A 21361-nucleotide genomic window follows, 5' to 3' on the forward strand; every position below is an offset into this window, starting at 1 on the left:
TCATCAGTATTTCTAATATCATCCTGCTCCCAGGACTTAGATATCTCTACTTTGGGCCTTAACATTCTGTTTCTGCTAAGAAAAAAAAATGACAAAAGCTACCACAAGTGTGATATATAGAACTATTAAATAGTCAAAGAGCTCATCTTTCTCCTAACTCAGAGTTTGACTACAGCTTACCAAAAATGACAAAATAGAAAACATATATAAAACAGATTTTTTTCCTCTATAACCAAAGCCCACTTGTAATAAACTACATGAGAGGTTCAAATTTGCTTGATCATAATAGAGCTGTTTAAAAATACATGGCTGGAATTCACATTTGCAGTTTGCAGATGGAGCAATAACGATACTCTGAATTAATAATATGTGATTGAAACTCCGCATGGAAGGAGGGGGTGTGTTATCCCACCCTTTCTATCCTGCAAGCCTAGGTCTTCCTAAGGACTACTTTGCTCAACGGGTAATTTGGGAAATTAGAGTTTGTTGTTCAGATGTCTGAGATCAGGGATAAGCAAAAGATTTCACGACTCTGTGAAGGTCACTGGCAATGACCACAGCAACCATTAATAAAGATTGCCTTATTAAAAATCTCCATGGCACTGGGCACTGTGGCTCATGTCTGTAATGCCAGCACTTAGGAAGGCCAAGAGAGGAAGATTGCTTGAATCCAGGAGTTCAAGGCTGCAGTGAGTGGCAATTGCACCACTGCACTCAAGCTTGGACAACAGAGTGAGACCTAGTCTCAAAGAAAAGAAGAAAAACACAAATAAAACTCTCTGCGGCTTATCATAAAATGAAATGTCAGCCAAGGCAAGAGGCCACGCCCGAAGGAGAAAACAGATAGGTCTGAGTGTGGGGGTAATGCTCCAGGCAGCAGGTGGTGAGCAAAGGGGTCAAGCTGGGTTCCTGGGAAGTTCCCCATAAATTTCAGCCAACGATGCACAGGCCTCCTCCCAAACACCGCTGAGCAGGGCTTCTAGATCTCACTGTTTTTGACAACACAGCCAACCTCAGCTACCAGGGTCATTTGGACCAAAAGGGAAAATACCACTAATCAAACAGGGCCCAATTTCTTAAAACAAACAAAACAAAACAAAAACAAACACCAATTGCCTTCTCATTAGAAAAGAACTTAAGAAAATCACTAGGCCTGTTAGACCAAACAACTAACTCCACAGGTGGTTAACAGCCTGGCCCACTGAGTGGGGCAGCACCCAGTCCTGCAGCTCCACAGCCCTGACGATAACGCAGGCTTGACTTTCATTCACAGACGGCCTAGGGGACATCGACAGCTGACCCAAGCCATGACATTCCATGCCTGCTTCCTAGCCTTGTGGCTGTGAACTAGTGACTCAGCCTCTTTAAGCCTCAGCTCCTCTGCTGTAAGATGGAGCTAACTATACGGGTCTGGAACACTGTAAGAGCCACACACTGAAGTAGTGATTCTCCAAGTGTGTCGCTGGGCTGGCAGCAACAGCATCATCTGGAAATTTGTGAGAAATGCACATCTCCAGCCCCCACCCAGACCTACTGTATTGCACCGTTTTCACACTGCTACAAAGAACTGCCCAAGACTGGGTAATTTCTAAAGAAAAGAGGTTTAATTGACTTACAGTTCTTCATGACTGGGGAGGCCTGAGGAAGCTTAGAATCATGGCAGAAGGGGAAACAAACACATAGTTCTTCGCAAAGTAGCAGAAGAGAAAGAGCAAGCAAGAGTAGGGAAAACTGCCTTGGAAAACCATCAGATATCCTGAGAACTCACTCACTATCACGAGAACAGCATGGAGGAACCGCCCCCATGATCCAATCACCTCCCACCTGGTCCCTCCCTCGACACACAGGAATTATAGGGATTACAATTAGAGATGAGATTTAGGTGGGGACACAGCCAAACCATATCACCTACTAAAACAAAAATGGAGTGGGAGAACTTAAGGGGCTGGGAGAGCCTCCTGCAATGTTACCTGCCCTTCAGGTGCTTCTAATTCACACTAAAGTTGGAGAACCACTGAGCTACTGTCTTAAAGCATAGTTACCATTGTAACAAATAGCTCCTCCCTTCTCTGCAATGAAGATAACACAATGTTCTACCTGGTGTGTTCAATGTCTACGCTCATGGTAAGGGAGATAGATGGTGATGATGATGATGGGGAGGATGAAAATGATCATTTTTCTTTATCGAGTGACAGGAAGTGGGACAAGGAACAGAAGACATCCTCATTCATGGCTAAAAATGTATGTGACTAACTCACATGGCTGTTGCTTCTGTGGCCATCCAGGACATAAAGGCAGAAAATGAGCTTTTTTAATACAGAACTTTATTTTATAATCATGGTAATGGAAATTTCCATCTTCCTTCCAGAACGTTTCAACAATTTCAAGAGGGTTTGGTGGAGCTCTGGTCAAAAGTCTAGCTGCTGAGGCTTCACGTGGCAATAGAAATCTAAAAAAAGAGTGCCTAGATCCTTAACCTCCCCAGAATCTGGCTGAGCTTCCAACAGGCTGGAGAATAAGCACTGTCACCTGGCACAGGAAGGGCTCTCAGGCAGATGAGGGCACTGGCAGAAGCCTGGGAAAATGCAATGCATCTGATGCTCTGAGGCCTTCAACATTCTCGCAGGCTTGCTCTGCTACCCAGGTGAAATCCATGATGCCATCAGCCCCCATCAGCACACCTGCCAGGAGTCTCGCTCCATCCCTGACCCAGCCTTGTGCCTATGTGCCAGTCATTTGCCTATTTGCTCTTTGACTCATTCCCTACCCTTCACCTGCAAACTACCTTTTCCAGGCTTATTTGCCAACTGGCTCCAGCTGGGTTTAAGTGGAAGACTGGAGGACCAGAGGAAGCCAGAGAATTTCCTCCCCTGCCTTTCTCTGCTTGTGGTGATATCTCCAGCAGTGGCCTTTTCTTCTCCATGATTCCAACTCCCAGCAGACAGACCTTCCCTCTACAGTCCCAGGTGCTTCTGAACACCCCCATGCAGATGCAGTTCTTCACCTGTGGTACCACCATCCTCTCTCTGTTCTACCAGCCTTTGTCATAGTAACGGTTTCCTGCTACTGTTAATATCTGGGTGAGTTTATCACCCCTATTTGGCTTTTCGCATCTTCTAAAGATCTTTGTAACTAAGTACTTTCATTAAAGTGCTCCTATTTTATTGCATGGGCCATGACTAATGCAGCCTCCTCTCATGTCTTCAATCTTGATCACGCCTTACCTGCTGCCCACCCAACTGACTCAGCTCCCTATCCAAGATTTTCTCTGGACCTGTCTACAGGGAGCCCCTGTTCACATACAGAGCTTTAGTTCTTACCTGTTTGTGATCAACCAGTTTTGATACCAGTTCATCCAACTGTGCCCTGACACCAACCCAAGCCCTGACCACCCACACTCAATATTCACCTAACTCCAGCTTTCTCGGGACAAGCCAGTCTCCACTGGTATCTGCTACCTTCCCCTTCTTGAATTCGGTAACTATTAGGTTGGTGCAAAAGTAATTACGGTTTTTGCCATAATAAGTTAACACACACTCTGAGGATCTCAATACATATTTTCTATTTAAAAATGTTTCCTGGAGCAACCATATAACATTAAGTGAATTTTTTTTTCTTTCCATGTCTGGTTTATTTCACTTACCATAATGCCATCCAGGTTCATCCATATCATCAAATACAGCAATTTTAATCTTTTTTTAAGATTGAATACTATATACATAATACTTATATTATTGAGTTTACATTATAAGAATTATAAGATTAAGTGAATATTTAATTTAATCAGGCAAAAGGAAGTTTGTGACTTGAAATAACTAACTGGCCCAAACTCACCTGATATTTTCACAACTTTCCACTTCCTTTTGGCTACAAAGATACAACAGATGTACAAACTAAAGAGAGAACACAGTGTTCCAGAAAATGATTATGCTTTTGGCAGCTACCCACATAAGTGTAGTAAGTACAGTATAATGACAGTCCTCCCTGGAAGCTTCTTGTTCTGTAGAGAGATTTACCCTCATTTCAAGTCTCGCATTCCAAAATACATTGTTGAATTATCCTTAACAACCAACCTTAGAAAGCTCAATTCCTTTAATTAATTTTTCAAAAAGTTAAAAAGTTAAACAAAATAGAGAAAATTGCACATAATGAAGATCGCAGTGTTGCTGACTTAGGATTGGAGCCAGGACTGGCAAACGCCATGGCTTTCCTAAGCCTACACACACTATATTTATAGGTGTTGCATACTGCACTACAGCTTTTGGAAATACTCAGTTAGTGCTCACGAGGCCTTCTAGAATAGGAAAGGGCATGGGTTCCCTTAATGCTAAATAAACTTCTAGAATTGATCAACTACCTTAATAAGGGCTTCTGAGCCCTTCTTTAGTTGCTCAGCTATTCCCAGTCTGCCCTTAAGGAAATGCAGGCAGCTACCTGAAGGTAAAGCACATTAATAAAAAGAAGAAAGAAAAGAAACAGGTCCAATACTGCAGGTTATTTTCTAAAATGATCCAATGCACTAATGCATAAGGTCCCCAAAAGTTTGTTCCATGCTGCCTCTGCAGCAAAGATGGCACACAGAGGCCCCATGTCTGCAAAACGGCCCAGACCCTTTCCATTCAACAAGCCCCGGAGACAGATGCTGAGGGGTCATGAGGCAGCACAGGCCCCCCATCTACAGCTCACTCCTCCTCTGCTCACTTTGTATTTGGATGCTGAGAGATTCTAGTATTTGAACAGCACCCAACATTGTTCACAATAATGTTAAGCTCCAACAAAATCTCCCTACATAATTTCACATCAATGTGAAATTCAATATATTTTCACAGTGCATTGTTATTATTTTCCTAAAACCACTGACTTCATTTCAAGCTTCTACAGAACTGGAAATAATTTGAATTGTAAGATCTTCATTAAAAAAATAAAACGTGGACGTTTCTTAGGTCTTCCCACTCATTTCTGGATGGTTTCATTCCTGAAAGCCTATGAGGGGGAAATAACTCAAATAGCAAATTTTAGCCTGTGGGTCTCATCCTGGGTCTTATCTCTACTCTGCCACTAATTAGCTGTGCGGCCAGAGTGCACTTCACAATCTCTCTCCTGGCCTCAACTTCTTCCTTCTATAACAAGGAAGTTGGACTAAATACTGTCAAATATCCCTTCTAAGCCTAAAATGCTCCAATTGACTCCAGGAAAATAACCTAAGAAATGCATATTTTAATTCAAAGTAAAATTAAAGCATGATGAAATAAAAACATGGCGTTTAGATTTCTAACATCATTTTAGAGGCTGTACTGCAGATTGGAGTAGAGATTGTGAATTTAAGAGAAAAGCAACAATGTCAAGACAAAGGAACATGGGTAATTTAGAAAGGCCTCCGAAAGTTACTAAGCTTTCATGTGATATCATGCACATGTTGTTTAAGAGTTTGTGGAGTCAAAAAGGAGTCAAAAGCTTTCTCCTTCAGCGCAGGAGATTTTGTAATATTTCTAAATGATCCAGCCAAACAACATTGGAGGAAGAAAAAAAATCAAACACTACACTACACAAGCCATCATCCTGTCACAAAGCCATTAGCGCTCATGAAAAACGATGGTATTGTTAAGGTTTATTTATAGTTCTTTCTTAATCAAATAAAAAATGAACAGGAAAACACTCTGAATATAAATTTTTAAAAACTTTAAAGACCCAAGACCAGTAGCAAAAACATGTATGAAGACATAGTCCTACAAATCGTCTTTTAAAAACAAATTGGATAGGCAGGAATGCTTACGGCTATGGCTGAATTCTGCCTTTCTCCAGGACATCATGAATAATTAGACATCCAGCAGTCTAGGTTACTGCCATCAGGACTTTGGGGAACTTGACAATGTGAAAAAGATTCTGTCCCCAATCCAACTTACATTTTATGCAATTTGCCTCAAACACCACTGTAGCATCTTACAGTAAAGCAAGATAATGTGTGTCATATTTTTTTAAGTCATGCAAACAACTGAAAACAACCAACTCTTCGTTCCAGGGATATAAGCATGAATTAAAGGCAGGCCTTCCCTCAAGGGGCTCACTGTTTAGCAGGAGAGAACAACATTTAATACATAATTGGAACAGGGCATATGAAACACCACGATGCAGATGTACATAAAGGGAAGTGGGGGCAGGGAAGTGCAAGGAGGAAGCAACCACCTGTGGCTGAAAAACCACAGTAGCTACAGTGGTTATGAACCCAAACTCTAGAATGGGGCTCCCCAGTTTCAGACCGCAGCTTGCTACTTGCTAGCTGTGTGACTCCGAGCAAGACATTCAGCCTCTCTATGCCTCAGTTTCCCAACTGTTAAATGAGAGGGATAGTAATGGTGCCTACCTACAGGTACCACACAGGGCTGTTGCAAGGCTTCAGCACACAAGTTCATGTGGGGCATCTAGAATGGGGGTCGGTACACAGGAACCACACACAGTGTCGACTGTTCTCACTGTTACAGAGAAAGCTTAGATGGTGCTGAATCTTAAACGCTGAGTGGGCATTTCCCAGAAAGACAAGTATAGGCAGAGCCTCCCAGGCAGAAAACAGTGCATGCCAATGAATACTAGCATGAAAAGCAACCCCACGTGATTTGGTGTAGCTCAAAAGTGACATGTGAGGGGTTGCAAGGCAGGAGGTAAAGATGGTAAGGACAGATGGCAGAGGGCCTGTGTGTGCCATCCATAGGAATTTCTCCTTTATTCCCACAAGAACGGGAAGTGTGAGTTTCAAGTAGGTAAGAGCATTGTCAGATCTAGCAGGAGAGTGGAGGATGGCCAGAAAGAGGCAAGGATGGAGACAAAGAGACCAAATAAGAGGCAATAGCAATGGAGAGAGATGACCACCATGAAGAGGAAAAATGGTAGTGAAGACACATCAGAGGCAAGCACTTGGGAGCCATAGAGGCAGTTTCATGGTCTTACTGACCCTGAACTGAGGGTTGCAAGCAAGAGGGTCAAGAAGGAGTCCAGAATGACATCCAGGTCTATGGCTTTGGCAGATGATGAACAGTGGGGTTGATCATGATGGAAATTCAGGCAGAAGAACAGTACGGGGCTGTTCAGGGAAAATGTCCAGACAGAACCACAAGTCACATTAGCACCTGGGGAAAGTCTGGCCACTACCCTTGTAAGATGACTGGGCACCAAATCTCAGGGCCGGGCAGAGCTAAAACAGAAGAAAAGCAAGATAAATGGCTGGAAAAATCTAGAGACTGGACCAAATGCTACCTGGGGAGTGAGGGAGTGAGTAGCCCAGAGCCCCCCTGTACAAGGTACCCAGCAAGCTCCATGCTATGGGTCCAGCGGCTTCAGGGCCCTTGCTGGGACCGAGCAGAGTCAGAGGCAATGAGTCCACTGTGGGACATGTGGACTTGAAGGAGCTCAAGAGGCAGTGGTAAACAGGACTCTGGAGTTCAGAAAAAGAGGCCTAGAAACAGAGATTGGAAGGTCATTAGAGAGAGGTGGTGGGTAACGTCCCACCCAGAGAGGGTAACGTGAATTAGAAGAGGGTGAGAAATACGACTGCAAAAGAGAGCTATTGAAAGGGGAAAGAGATGGTGTCCCAGGAAGCAAGGAGGAAGATCAAGAATAGAGAAGTAAACACTGAAATGCTGCCAAAAAGTTAAGTAAGTGCATCCTCGGATTTGTCAATTAGAAAGTCATGGTGAGAAGGGTCACAGTGTTATTCATGGGAGCTCCACTGCGGGGGCTGAAGAGTGAATGGGAAGTGAGAAGGCTGCTGGGGAAGCAGGGAGAAGTCACTGGACAAAGCAGTCCCATGAGGTCCCCTTGATATGCTCTTCATACAGATTTTTAAAAAATAAGAAATTTGTCCAAGGTCCCTCAACCAGAAAGTCAGAAAGCTGGATTTCAGTTCCTTGCCTTCTGGCCCCAGAACCAACGCTCTTTCCATCATACACTTTGGAAACATTGTGTTTGGGGTTAGGATATGGGAGGAAACCAACAGCTGTGAACATTGAGAATATTAACTATGAATACGATGCACACTTGTTCATGCTTTTGCTCTCATGGGAAAATAAACTAATATTTGAATAAGCACATAGCACAAGCTACTATCTCATTAATACCCATAACAATTGTTTTTTACAGACATTTACATTGTACAGAAGAGGACACGGAGGCTCACAGGCTAAGGTAACTTGCCCAATAAGGCCGAAGAATTAAGCAGAGGAGCAGTGATTCTCAAAGAAGTTAATCTGGAGGCACTACTGATACTGCTTTAAAACTTACCTATGTACCTCACACTTAGTAGGATGGCTACTATTTTTTTAAGATCAGAAAATAACAAGTGTTAGCAAAGATGTGGAGAAATTGGAATTCTTGTGAATCACCGGTAGGAATGCAAAATGGTGCAGCTGCTATGGAAAAGAGAATGGATAACCCACAAAAAAAAATCATTGATTTACCATATGATCCAGCAATTTTGCTTCTAAGTATACAATCATCCCTCATTATCTATGGGGGACTGGTTCCAGGACTCCCCACAGATACCAAAATCCTTGAATGCACAAGTCTCTTCCATAAAATGCCATAGGATTTGCATGTGACCTAGGAACATCCTCCCTTATTTTTTAAACATCTCTAGATTACTCATAATACCTGACGCAATGTAAAGGCTATGTAAATAATTGTTGCAGTGTATTGCTTTTTTCTTTTTTTCTTTTTTTTGCTTTGTTTTTTTGAGATGAGGTCTCACTATGTTACCCAGTCTGGTCTCAAACTCAAGCAATCTGCCTGCCTTTGCCTCCCATGCTGGGACTACAGGCATGAGCCACCGCGCCCAGCCTCGTTTTTTATTTTTAGTTTTTTAATGACTCATTGCTATTTTTCTTGTTTTATTTTTTCAAATATTTTCAGGTCACAGTTGGTTGAATCCACAGATGCAGAACCCACAAGGCCAAGTGTATACCCAAAAGAATTGAAAGCAGGATCTCAAAGAGATTTCTGTACACCCATGTTCATAGTAGCATTATTTGCAACAGCCAAAAGGTGGAAACAACCCAACTGTCCATCAACAAATGAAGAGATACATAAAATGCTCTGATCATGAAGTGGAATATTACTCAGCCTTAAAAAGGAAGGAAATTTGGAAACAAGCTATAACACAAGTGAACCATGAGGATCTGATGCTGAGTAAAATAAGCCCATCACTAAAGGGCAAAAATTATATGATGTTACTCACATGAGGTCCCTGAAGTAGTCAGGTCCATTGAGCTAGAAAGTAAAATTACAGTTGCCAGGAGATGGTTAATGAGGAACAGGAGTTCTTGTTTAATGGGTACAGTTTCAATTTTGCAAGATGAAGAGTTCTAGAAATGGATGGCAGTGATGGTTACAAAAGAATGTGAATCTACCTATTGCCACTGAATTGTACACTTAAACACTGTTAACACTGTAAATTTTATGTTCAGTGTATTTCATCAAAATTTTTAAAAGAACTTAGGGGCTGGGCACGGTGGCTCAGCCTGTAATCCCAGCCCTCTGGGAGGCCGAAGAGGGGACAGATCACGAAGTCAGGAGTTTGAGACCAGCCTGGCCAACATGATGAAACCCTGTCTCTACTAAAAAATACAAAACTTAGCTGGGCATGGTGGCGCGTGCCTGTAGTCCCAGCTACTCAGGAGGCTGAGGCAGGAGAATCACTTGAACCCAGGAGACAGAGGTTGCAGTGAGCTGAGATCACACCACTGCACTCCAGCCTGGGTAACAGAGTGAGACTCCGTCTCAAAAAAAAAAAAAAGAAAAAAAAAAACTTAGGTAAGTATTATTTCCCATTTTAAAATAAGAAATAAGGCACAATGATGTTAAGTCAGGTTTTTTTTTTAGTAATATAAATTGTTTACTGCAGACCTGGGCCTAGAAACCAAACCTCCTATTTCCGGGTGTGTGATCTTCCTAGACAGCACTCACAGGTTTGCTTTCAACTTCGACTGTGACTTGAGGTTAGGAAGTCATTATAATGTGTTGCCATGGTGTCCTTCCTTATTAATAAACCTGGCCCAGTGATCTTTCCTATCTACAAAATCAGGCTAATAGCCTTCCTTTTATGCCTCTCATAATGGTACTAAGGTGTTTTTATATTATTGACAAAGTAGTTATGGGTGAAAATATGATAGAAAGGATACGGACCGTATGACACAGCCTTCCTCACCATTAATCAGGGAGGACTTAGTGCATGATCCATGGTGGTATCTATGAATGTGAACCAAGTCTCTCCCTCTATCCCTGCACCTACAATTGATTGAACTGAAAACATCCGATGTTCCTATCTCTTTCTGTAATTGTCCTTCCTCTCTTGAACAAACTTCTTAAAGGCAAATCTTAACATATGCTAAAAATGAAACAAATAGACCACCAAAATCTGTCTGTCCAAGAAAAGGCAATCAACCTCTATAAAATTCTTTGAAACCCTTGAGGTCACTTTCCTGCAGTGTGGCAGTAGCCCCTAGTTTCCCATATCATATCCATCCTTCCCTTTCTCTTAGTAACAGAACATTTGTATTTTTGAAGGGGGCAAAATTTTTGGAGAAATTACCTTTCCCAATATCCACTGAAAACAGGGATAGCCAATGAAATGTCAGTGGAAGTCCTTAGGTGGGGTTTGCAGGAAGGAATGTAAAGAGAGCTTATTCAGCTTGCAGGTGCCTTTCTGACCTTCCACCCTTCCCTCTTATGCCATCAAGACAGAAATGATGGCTGGAGCTGCAGCAATCATCTTGAGTTCATGAAGGAAGGAGACCAAGAAAATTTCAGTTCATCTATTATCCGTTTTTTTTTTTTTTTTTTTTGATACAGAGTCTCACTCTGTTGCCCAGGCTGGAGTGCAGTGGGGTGATCTCCATGCACTGCAACTTCAGCCTCCCAGGTTCAAGTAATTCTCGTGCCTCAGCCTCCTGGCTAGCTAGGATTACAGATGTGCCACCACACCAAGCTAATTTTTGTATTTTTAGTAGACAAGGGGTTTCACCATGTTGGCCAGGCTGGCCTCAAACTCCTGACCTTGAGTGATCTGCCCACCTTGGCCTCCCCAAGTGCTAGGATTACAGGTGTGAGCCACTGCACCAAGCCTACTCTGATATCTTAAGACACCAAAGCAGTGCCAGCAACTGTGTACCTCCAGTCTTCTTGTTATGTTCTGAAAATTAACCCTTGGAGTTTAAGACCACACAGTGGAAGGTCTGTCACTCTTAGCCAAATGCAATTCCTCAGGGGTACACCTAAGATCCTGAAAAGACCCTACATAGACAATTAAGTTATGAATAAATGTTACTGGATAATGATGACGATGATCACAAGGATAATGATGATGACAATGTTAATATCTATGCAGCGCATCCTACATGTCACGTACTGAAGCCCAGAAAGTTTAAGTAATTTACCCAAGATCTTGTGGCTAATAAGTGGTAAGACTCGACTTTCAATCCACTCAATCTGGTTCCAGAATCCATGCTTTTAACCACTACAAGATGATAATATCAAGTAGAACAAACTAATATACACTGCACAAATGAATAAACACAGATATACTCATCTTAAAGCAGCTTTGTTGATTCATTAATGAAAATTCTTATTATATGCCATCCCCAAATTGCTCCTTTATTTGAGAATTATTTCCTTTAGGAACTGAGATTCTTACAGGTCTGGCAAACATTTGATTGGCTTCATAAGTGCCTACCTGTTACATTAAATACTGCTTGAACCATCATTATAGCCTCCTAACAGATGCCCTTGTTTCTGATCCCTCCTCTTCACCATCCATCACACCACCATTGCAAGATGAATCTCTCTACAGTGGAGCTCTGAGCCCCTCACAGCCCTTCCCAAAGGTATTCAGTGGATCCCTAGAGCCAAACTCTGGGCCAGGTGCAATGGCTCACACCTGTAATCCCAATGCTTTGGGAGGCTGAGGCAGAAGGATTCCTTCTGAGACCAGCCTGGGCAACATAGTGAGACCTCATCTCTACAATAAAATTAAAATTTAAATATTAGTTGAGGATACACCTGTAGTCCCAGCTACTTGGGAGGCTGAGGCTGGAGGATCAATTCAGCCCAGGAGTTGAAGGCTGCAGTGAGCTATAATCACACCACTGCACTCCAGTTTAGGTGTCAGGGTCTATGTCTCTAAAAAAAAACTTAATTAATTTTTTAAAATTCAAATTCTTCAACCTGCATCTGCTCCCAGCCCTTTCCCACCTTTCCAGCACTCCCCTTCCCAAGCAAAACCCTCCAGCCAAACTAAGCACTGGTTGTCCCCTGCATGCACCTGGAATGCTCCATCTCAGTCCTTGTCACAGACTGCTCTGTTGGCCAGACACCCATCTTCTCCCATCCATCACCCAGTTCCATGTGTCTATACCAGACCTCGTCCTCAAGACTCAAGTCACATACCATGTCAATGACTCCTTCTGGACAAGGGCTGAGCTGCCATGGATCTAGTGCAGAAGGAAAAGCTCTGGGTTTCAGGGTCTCCCCTAAAGGGAATCAGTGTAGCCCAGCCCCCCACCCAGTAGCCCCCACTTAGACCAGGGCCAATGACTAGATCCACTTCTTCCCCTACACCCCTCTTAGCCCCCTTCCTGGTGTGGGTTCACTTCCCTTTATATCTCATCTGATCAACATGATCACCGTGGACAGAATTCAAGCTCAAAAGGGAAACCTGTAACCCTATGGATGTCTGAGGCAGGGGAAGAAGGGAGGTCATTGGGAAGTGCTCACTAGTGTCCCTCCAATAGGATGCTACTGTCTTCTGATCTATTACCAAAATAACCCAAGACCCTGAAATCGAGAGCTTTTCCTTCTCAACTAGACCCATGGCAGCTCAGCCCTTGTTCAGAAGGAGCCATTGACGTGGCATGTGACTTGGGATTTGAGCCACTCGAAGTTGTTACATAATAAGAACAGGCTGACCTCTCTTGGTTTGTTGGTTGGTTGGTTTTGAGACGCCATCTCACTCTGTCACCCAGGCTAGAGTGCAGCGGCGGGATCTCAGCTCACTGCAAGCTCTGCCTTCCAGGTTCATGCCATTCTCCTGCCTCAGCCTCCTGAGTAGCTGGGACTACAGGCACCTGCCACCAAGCCCGGCTAATTTTCTGTATTTTTAGTACAGACAGGTTTTCACCATGTTAGCCAGGATGGTCTTGATCTCCTGACCTCATGATCCACCCGCCTGGGCCTCCCAAAGTGCTGGGATTACCGGTGGGTGTGAGCCACCATGCCCAGCCCTCTCTTTGTTTTTAGTGCTCCTCAGACCTTCAGGTAACTGGAGAGTTGGTTACTACTGACTGCACAGCACCTTCCACAGTAAAACAAAGTTTAATCAATACAAGAAATCCTCTCATGGTCTGCATGTCTCCCTGATTGATACAAAGTTATCAGATTCATTCACTCAGAACAACATATTCTACACCAAGTAATTTTTGTGATTAAGTTTAGTTCTCTACAAAGTACGTTACAATTAACAGTGTTTTTTAGGAAACTGCCCATGCACTGGCTTTCCTCCCTTATCCTACACGCAGCTCTCAGGAGCCTCTTACATAGTACGGGTGCATATCTGGCAGTGACATCTTTCCTGAGAGCTGTCAGACCCTTGAGGGTATCATCTATGTCTGATTTGCTCTTCCAGCCCCACTCAGTAAGCCTAACACACTACACTGCACATGGGAGATCTTACTTTTTAAAGTTTTGAATGAATGAAAGAATGAGAATGCTCTGAATTAACCAAGCTTGATGGTTAATTACATAATTACATGGATCATTCTTATTCTCTTCTCTCCCTCCTTTCCTCTCTTCCATTTCCCCCAGTCCCTGGAAAAACAAGGCACTAAACGAATGTGCTGCCAAAGGAGAAAGAAGAAAGGTAACAGGGCATTTGAATCACAGACCCTTCCAGGCCGATATTATATTGTTAGATGGAGAAGAAATTTTGAATTTTTCCAAAGTACCATTAATACTTTTTAAAAATAAATTTCTTGCATATCAAAACCACAGTCATCTATCACTTCACACCTTAAGATGGCTGTGATGAAAAAGTCAAAAATATCAAGTGTTGTCGAGGACTTGGAGAAAAGGGAATCCATATACATTGTTGATAGGAGTGTAAATTGGTATAGCCATTATGGAAAACAGTATTGAGGTTCTTCAAAAATTAAAAATGGAACTACTCTATGATCCAGCACTCTCACTTCTGGGTATATACACAAGGAAATAAAATCACTTTTTCAAAGAGATACCTGCACTATTTTCACTGCAGCATTATTCACAATAAGATATGGAAACAATTTAAGTACCCATAGACGGATGGATGGATGGATGGGTGGATAAATGGATGGATGGATGGAGAAAATGTGATATATACATAAAACAGAATATTATTTACCTTAAAAAAGTAGAAAATCCTGCCATTTGTGATAACAAGGATGAACCTGGAGGACATTATGCTAAGTGAAACAACCTAGACATGGAAAGAAAAACATTGCTCAATCTCATTTCAATATGGAAGTTTTAAAAGTTGAACTCAAACAGACTAAAAGGGTAGTTACTGTGTGAAAACAGAGTTGGGAAATGGGGAGATTTTGCTTAAATGATGCAAACTTTCCATTACAAGATGAATAAGTTCTGGTAACCTACATCATAGTGACTGTAGTTAATACACGTATTGCCCACTTAAAATGTGCTAAGAGGGTAGATCTTAAGTATTTGCACCACAAAAAGGTACTATGTGAGGTGATAATTAGCTTGATTATGGTAATCATTTCACAACATATACCAAAGCATCACATTGTACACCTTAACTGTATGTAATTTTTGCCAATTATACTTCAATAAACTTGGGGGAAAAACAAATAGAAAGTAAATCAGTAATTCTACCTTAAGGATAGTAACTCAAGGGTAGCTATTTATGCAAAGACTTACATCAAGAATTCCATTAACTCAGGGAAAAACTGGAAACAATTTAAATGTTCAATAATTATTTTCTAATGCATTTTTATGCATCCATTCAATGACATGTTTTTGAATAATATTTAGAAGGAAAAAGCTCATCATTTGAATTTTAAAATCCAGGGAAGGCTGGGCACAGTGGCTCATACTTGTAATCCTAACACTTTGGGAGGCTGAGGCAGGAGGCAGGAGGCTTAAGCCCAGGAGCTCAAGACCAGCTTAGGCAATATGATGAAACACCATCTCTACAAAAAATACAAAAAATTAGCCGGGCATGGTGGTGCATGCCCATAGTCCCAACTACTCGGAAGCCTGAGGTGGGAGGATTGCCTGAGCCGGGGAGGGGGAGGCTGCAGTGAGCTGAGATCGCACTACTTCACTCCAGCCTAGGCAACAGAGCGAGACCCAGTCTCAAAAAAAAATCCAGAGAAAAAAATGTAAGGCTAGAGTTTCAAAAATTGTACATGACATATTATGAATAGATGTTTAATATATAAATACAACCATAAACATAAAAGTAAAGCAACATTCCAGAATGTTGATGCTAGTTAAAGCTGAATAATCGAATGACAGGGCACGACTAATTTTCATTTTCTTTCATTTCCTCGATTATCTTCAATTACCTTGTATTACTTGATTATCTGAATCCCCGAACCTCCCCTCCAACATGAAGACAAAGGCAAAAAAATCTGGAGGTGCAGTAGCTACAAATAAACCCAGACATGGAAAAATACTAATCAGATCAAATAAAAACTAAAATAGATTTCTCCACCTCCCAATCATACAGGGCCCTTACAAAGCAAATAGCATGCAAGGATGACAACGGGGGACAGCTGTGTGAGGCCTTATGTCTTTGTGAACTCACCAAGCCTTCCCCAATGTCATAGTTAATTCATTTAGATTAGGGAGAATTCTGCTTCATGCTCTAAAGGTATTTTACAAAAAGGCAGTCATTGTCCCTGTGGTTTGTGAACTGAAGCCAGGCTCAATCTGTATCTGTATTGTCATAAAGAGAATTTCCTCCACATCCTCAAAGGAAGTGTTACTTCCTAAAAGGAAAACTGCGGCGGAGGCTGGGGAAACCTAAGAGAGCAGTGGAGCCACGGCAGCCCATGAGGTCAAGGAATTGAATAACACAGGCACTAAAATCAGACACTGGAATACACTGAATCAGGTTTAAAGGAGTGCCTTTTCCTAGCCCCAAGTCCACAAAACACCCAGAAGGACATCTCTTTAGCCTCCAACCACAAGGGAAGAAGAGGAATCATTTTAATGGGGAACAAGTAAATAGCAATAATAAATGTTGGCAGTGGGATACCTACCAGAGCATCTGCAGGTCAGGCTCCTCCTTGTGTGTGAAGCCCAAACCCCAGACATCAGGTGTGGGCACTCCCGGCTCAAGCAATCCTCCTCACCAAGCCTCCCTAGTAGCTGGCACTACAGGCATGCACCACCATGCCTGGCTACATTTTTTTAAATCTTTTGTAGAGACAGGATCTTGCTATGTTGCCCAGGCTGGTTTTGAACTCATGTCCTCAAGTGATTCTCCCTGCCTGGCCTCCCAAAGTGCTGAGATTACAGGTGTGAGCAACTACACCTCTTTGGCCTCGTATCTGATCAAAATCGACACCAGGACAGTCCTAGAGCTAAAAATATTTCACATAAGGGAAGCTGGTAACACTAAGGATATGTGAGATGGGGGAAGGAGAGAGGCCGGGAAGCTCTTACCAGCACCCAGGGATTCATCTAGTAGGAGGTTACTGCCTTTCTGATCTATTCACCAAGACAATCCAAGTCAGGTAACTCCAGAAGGTAGCTCAAGAGAAAAGTAGCATGGGGTGTAAACAGGATTTGAAAACACCAACAGTGTCCATGGAAATACTGGTGCTAAAGCCAGGAAATTCTTGATTGGTTGACAGATCAAGCAGTTCTACATCCATAAGTGTTCTATAATTAGGCATAACAAATTACAACTTTTAAATCTCAATTAATAGCTCTGTGAACTAAGGGACCCGATAAAACCACAGTAGCCAACCTCTTTACTAGTTATTTCTGATACCCCGAATAGAACTGCATGTAAATAATACAGTATCAGACATGCAGCCATTTTTATTTAAAGTCATTGATCAAAAGGAAGGAATTAGGGAGAAAATCATTCTGGAGTAGAAATCCTCTACAATTTATCATTTGAACCAGTACATGCCTAGAGTAAAAGAAGTCACTATTAATAACTGTTGGGACCACTGACACAAATTGAGATTGTCCCAGGCCAATCAGGGTATTAAATCACCCTCTACAAGAGCTACACGCAATGGAAGACTAGATAAACAGTATATGTTTAACTAATATGCTTTTTTTAATCCACAAAAAAACCCCTAAACTATATTAGCTATAAGGCCGGGTGTGGTGGCTCACACCTGTAATCCCAACATTTTGGGAGGCTGATGTGTGTGGATCACTTGAGGTCAGGAGATCGAGATCAGCCTGGCCAAGATGGTGAAACCCTGTCTCTACTAAAAATACAAAAAGTAGCCGGGCGTGATGGCGCATGCCTGTAGTCCCAGCTACTTGGGAGGCTAAGGCTGGAGAATCGCTTGAACCCAAGGAGGGGGAGGCAGAGGTTGCAGTGAGCTGAGATGGCGCCACTGCACTCCAGCCTGGGTGACGGAGCGAGACTCCATCTCAAAAAAGAAAAACTATATTAGATATAAACAACAAAAAAACACTGCTGCTCCACCCTGAGAAAGGATGAGCTGAGCAGAGGAAGGAACACAGACAGGTGCTAAGGAGGGGGAACTGAGAACGGGAGGAAAGCAGTTTAATTTGGTTCTGAGGTCAAGGTAACTGGTCACATTGCCCTGTTTTATTTTGACATTCTAATGGTGAAATTATGCAAATGTTTCTTACATGCAAAGAAATGTGCACAGCACGTAGGTCTGAGTTATGGGACATTCCAGCAGACTCAGCACCTAGGAGCCCACTGCATCACCTGGGATGCCCATCAGCGTGAGGTATTTTCACCTCTATCATCAGTAGCCATGTCAAAACTGATCCATTGATTAACAGCTACCCCAGATTTTAGGATATTTTCCTGAAAGTCACATGGGTTCCATTATGAGTAATATATTCACAGCGGCACACTGTGGAGGGGAGGCTGTCCTCACAAGCCAACCAAGTGAAATAAAGCAGCATAGCTCCAACTACTCAGCTACAAAACCTGCTGCCTGCTGGGTCACAGCGAGTTAGGAAGATCACATCCTCAAGGTATGTGTGAACCCTTCCATTAAAAGAACTCAGCAAATATGAGCTGAGGACTCAGCACCAGGTTCCAAATGTGCAAGGCAGGAGATGGGGAAGACTTCCTCCTCATTACTGCTCCATCCTCTCCCCATTCCACTGGCCGTTCTGTCCACTCCCCGGGACTGTTTAAACCAACAAGAACACAGAGCTTCAGGAGGAAAAAGTGCCGTTGTTAGCACTGAGTGGAGGGGCAGGTGAGTGCTCCCTATTCCTGGAAGGTCTGGTGCCCTCTCTTGTCCCTCTCATGGTGTCCCAAGGAGGTACAAATTCTAATTCCATCATGTACCACATATGTGGACTTGCACGTGTCATTTAACTGCTCAGAGCCTGTTTCACCATCTGTATGATCATCCCCATTCCACAGGAAAGATCACATTAGATAAAGTACATGAATGTACCTTAAAGCTGACTATTATCATATTTATGTCTGTATTTTTATGGTTATTATTATTATTACTCATTTGGAGATGCTGAGGGCAAGATCAGGAAACAGGAACAGGGCTGGATTCAAGAACGAGCTGCCAGCCTGTGTTCCGATTACATACTTGCCAAGAGGTGGGTACAGCTATGCTGGAAAGAAGCTAACTCTTCTCCAGGTCTTAGAAAAAGGACTCAAGCCTATGCTCAGTATCCCTTCAATGCATCTTGATATCAGAATTCATTCTCATTTAACAAATACGTTATATGTATATATTATACCAGGCACTGTCGTAGGCATCAGGCCTGCCTTCAAGGGGCTTATATTCTAGTGAAGGGAGGAAGAGACAATAGAAAGCAAACAAATTAACAGATGATTTCACAAAAGTCTAGGGCTAGCAAGGAAATAAGTAGGATGTCATGCTTTGGGTTAGCTGGTGAAGGGTGGGGATCTGTTTTAGAAAGGATGATCAAGGAAGGCCTTTCTCAGGAGAAATGAACTGAGAGAATGAAGTGGTTCCTACAGAGGGAACAGCAAGTGCTCCTGAGGCTGGAAAGCCCTTGGTGACTTCTGGAACCTAGAGGAAGGCCAAAATAGCTTGTTGCTTTCCAAGTGGTGCTTCTCAACTTGGCACTCAGTGGTATCACCACGAGGGCATTAGGCACTATGGAGGTTTGAGCCTGCCCCCCCGCCCAGAGTCTGATGTCATTGTCTGGGTGTGGCATGGGGAGTTTTCCAAGTCCCCCAGGTATGTCTAATGCACAGCGCAGGATGACAGGCAGGTCAGGTAAGATTGTAAGTGGACGCAGGACAGAGCTCTAGGGCACTCTGGGACTGAGTGCCTTCCACTCCTAAAGGCCCCTACAGAACATTTGCTCCAGTCTGCAACCAGACCAGATGCAAAGTCAAAGCTGGGTTGGGTCCACAGCAGATGTAAATGACTAATTACTTCTTACTTTCATTTCACAGCTTGGAAGGAGGCAAGACATGTGTGAAATATTTACTCCCCACAGGCTTAATTTTTCCTCCTTAAGAAATACTTCTAGGAAAACACTGCAACAAAACCAGTTTCATCCGTATCCCTGGAAATTATCTGTGACTTCTGATTCAAAATGTTAGAGAAAAAGAAACCCAAAAAGCCATAAATTAATTATAATTTTCTCTGTCATTCCATAAAACGCATAATTAAAAATTAACACAGCATGACTATATATGGGGAGTGAATAGGGTCTATAATCCATTTGTCAAGAACTAATTACCAGCTGAGAGTCAGTTCAGCAAGATTGCTGCAGTCATCTAGTTTGTTTTATAGCACCTATGATAAAGCAGTGAAATCATCTGAAAAAAGGATGGTTCCTGTAAAAGAAATAGATCGCCTTAACAACGCTATGCTTGGTGACACGAAACACACCAAGTTCACAATCGTGGCTTCTTCTGAGGAGGGAAGGGAGAGGAACAAAGAGTACATTGGTCAGAAATATTTTATTTCTTTCATTTAAAAACAAATCTGAAGCAAACAGGGCACAATGTTAATATGTATTAGTTCTAGGGTAGGGAGTGGTCCACGAGTTCTTGTTTTATTACTCTCTGTACTTTTCTGGATGGAAAAAAAAAGAAATGAGAACATGTTTGAAGGGTAAAAATCCTTCCTTTAACACTTCTTGCATAATGTGTGAAATTGAGTAGAAACCCTATAATTACTTCTTACCATTACTGTTTGCCAGTTTCAGAGGCAATGCTCCTGAAATCATCATAAGCATTTGCGCTCCTGTTATATTTATACATGAAGGCCAAGGAGGTGCTGGTAAACACAGCCTAGATTGTCTCTTTCACATTCTCTTTCTTTATTCGATTGCATCACTACCGTATGCTCCTCTCTGATTTTTTTTTTCCTCAAAAGTACTGCCTGAAAGAAGGATTAGTAAGACAGTCTCCACATGCTTCAAGGAAGATTGGCCCTGTGGTTCATTGCCCCACCCACCCCCTGCTGCTATTCTAGAACTGTTTGGTCAACCTTTACATATTCATTTTTTTCTTAATTTATGCTTTAAATATAAATATATTTCCAAAGGCAACATAGCTTTAGATTTTTATATGTCTTTAAAGGATAATTCATAGTCCTTTTGCTAAGTCAGGCCCAATAGAAAGTAAGCAGTCATCAACAGTGATAGTCGAGTTGTGCTGGGAGGAAAAAAAGATAGAAGCTGAAAGTTTTAAAACCGATATTTTTATCCTGAAATATTTATTAATCAATTTTAAAGCAGTGGAAAACATTTCCCTCCTGCAGGAGGGTGGGGCAAGGAAGAAGTAGAAAAAGAGACAAAGGAAGAGAGTGTAACAAGTTCAACAATAAATTTTAAGACAATTCACTTTGGTGATGAAATATAGGAGACCAAACCCTGTGTGCCAAGTAGCAGGAATTAATGTATTTCAACAGCGTGGCGTCTATTTAAGGGAACATGGCAAATAAAGCAAACTTATATGGAAGCTTTTACAGTATAACCCCCTAAATCAGCATTATTATCCATGTAAAAATTAATATATTTCAGAAATGTACTTGCCAAATGGATCTTAGGCTATAAAAGAATGAACATTGAGAAGCAAAAAGCCTAACACCTGGCAGATGCCTGCAGCTGAAGAAGGGAATCTCAATATGACATCTCA

At 42.3% G+C, this 21361-nt stretch overlaps 1 protein-coding gene across 34 annotated transcripts in view, besides 1 other annotated feature; it reads right to left on the reverse strand.

Annotated features, from left to right (window-relative positions):
• Nucleotides 1-21361, reverse strand: part of CSGALNACT1 (chondroitin sulfate N-acetylgalactosaminyltransferase 1) — a 353748-nt gene that overhangs the window by 286184 nt on the left and 46203 nt on the right. The gene's annotated exons all lie outside the window — the stretch shown is intronic.
• Nucleotides 17676-17755: an enhancer, noted in NCBI's record as "active region_27058". NCBI's record gives its function as "activates an Ori minimal core promoter by ATAC-STARR-seq in GM12878 lymphoblastoid cells {active_cell/tissue: GM12878}" and the evidence as "EXISTENCE:reporter gene assay evidence [ECO:0000049][PMID:35858748]".

Source organism: Homo sapiens, chromosome 8 (genome assembly GCF_000001405.40).
Source record: "Homo sapiens chromosome 8, GRCh38.p14 Primary Assembly".
Classification (NCBI taxonomy): domain Eukaryota; kingdom Metazoa; phylum Chordata; class Mammalia; order Primates; family Hominidae; genus Homo; species Homo sapiens.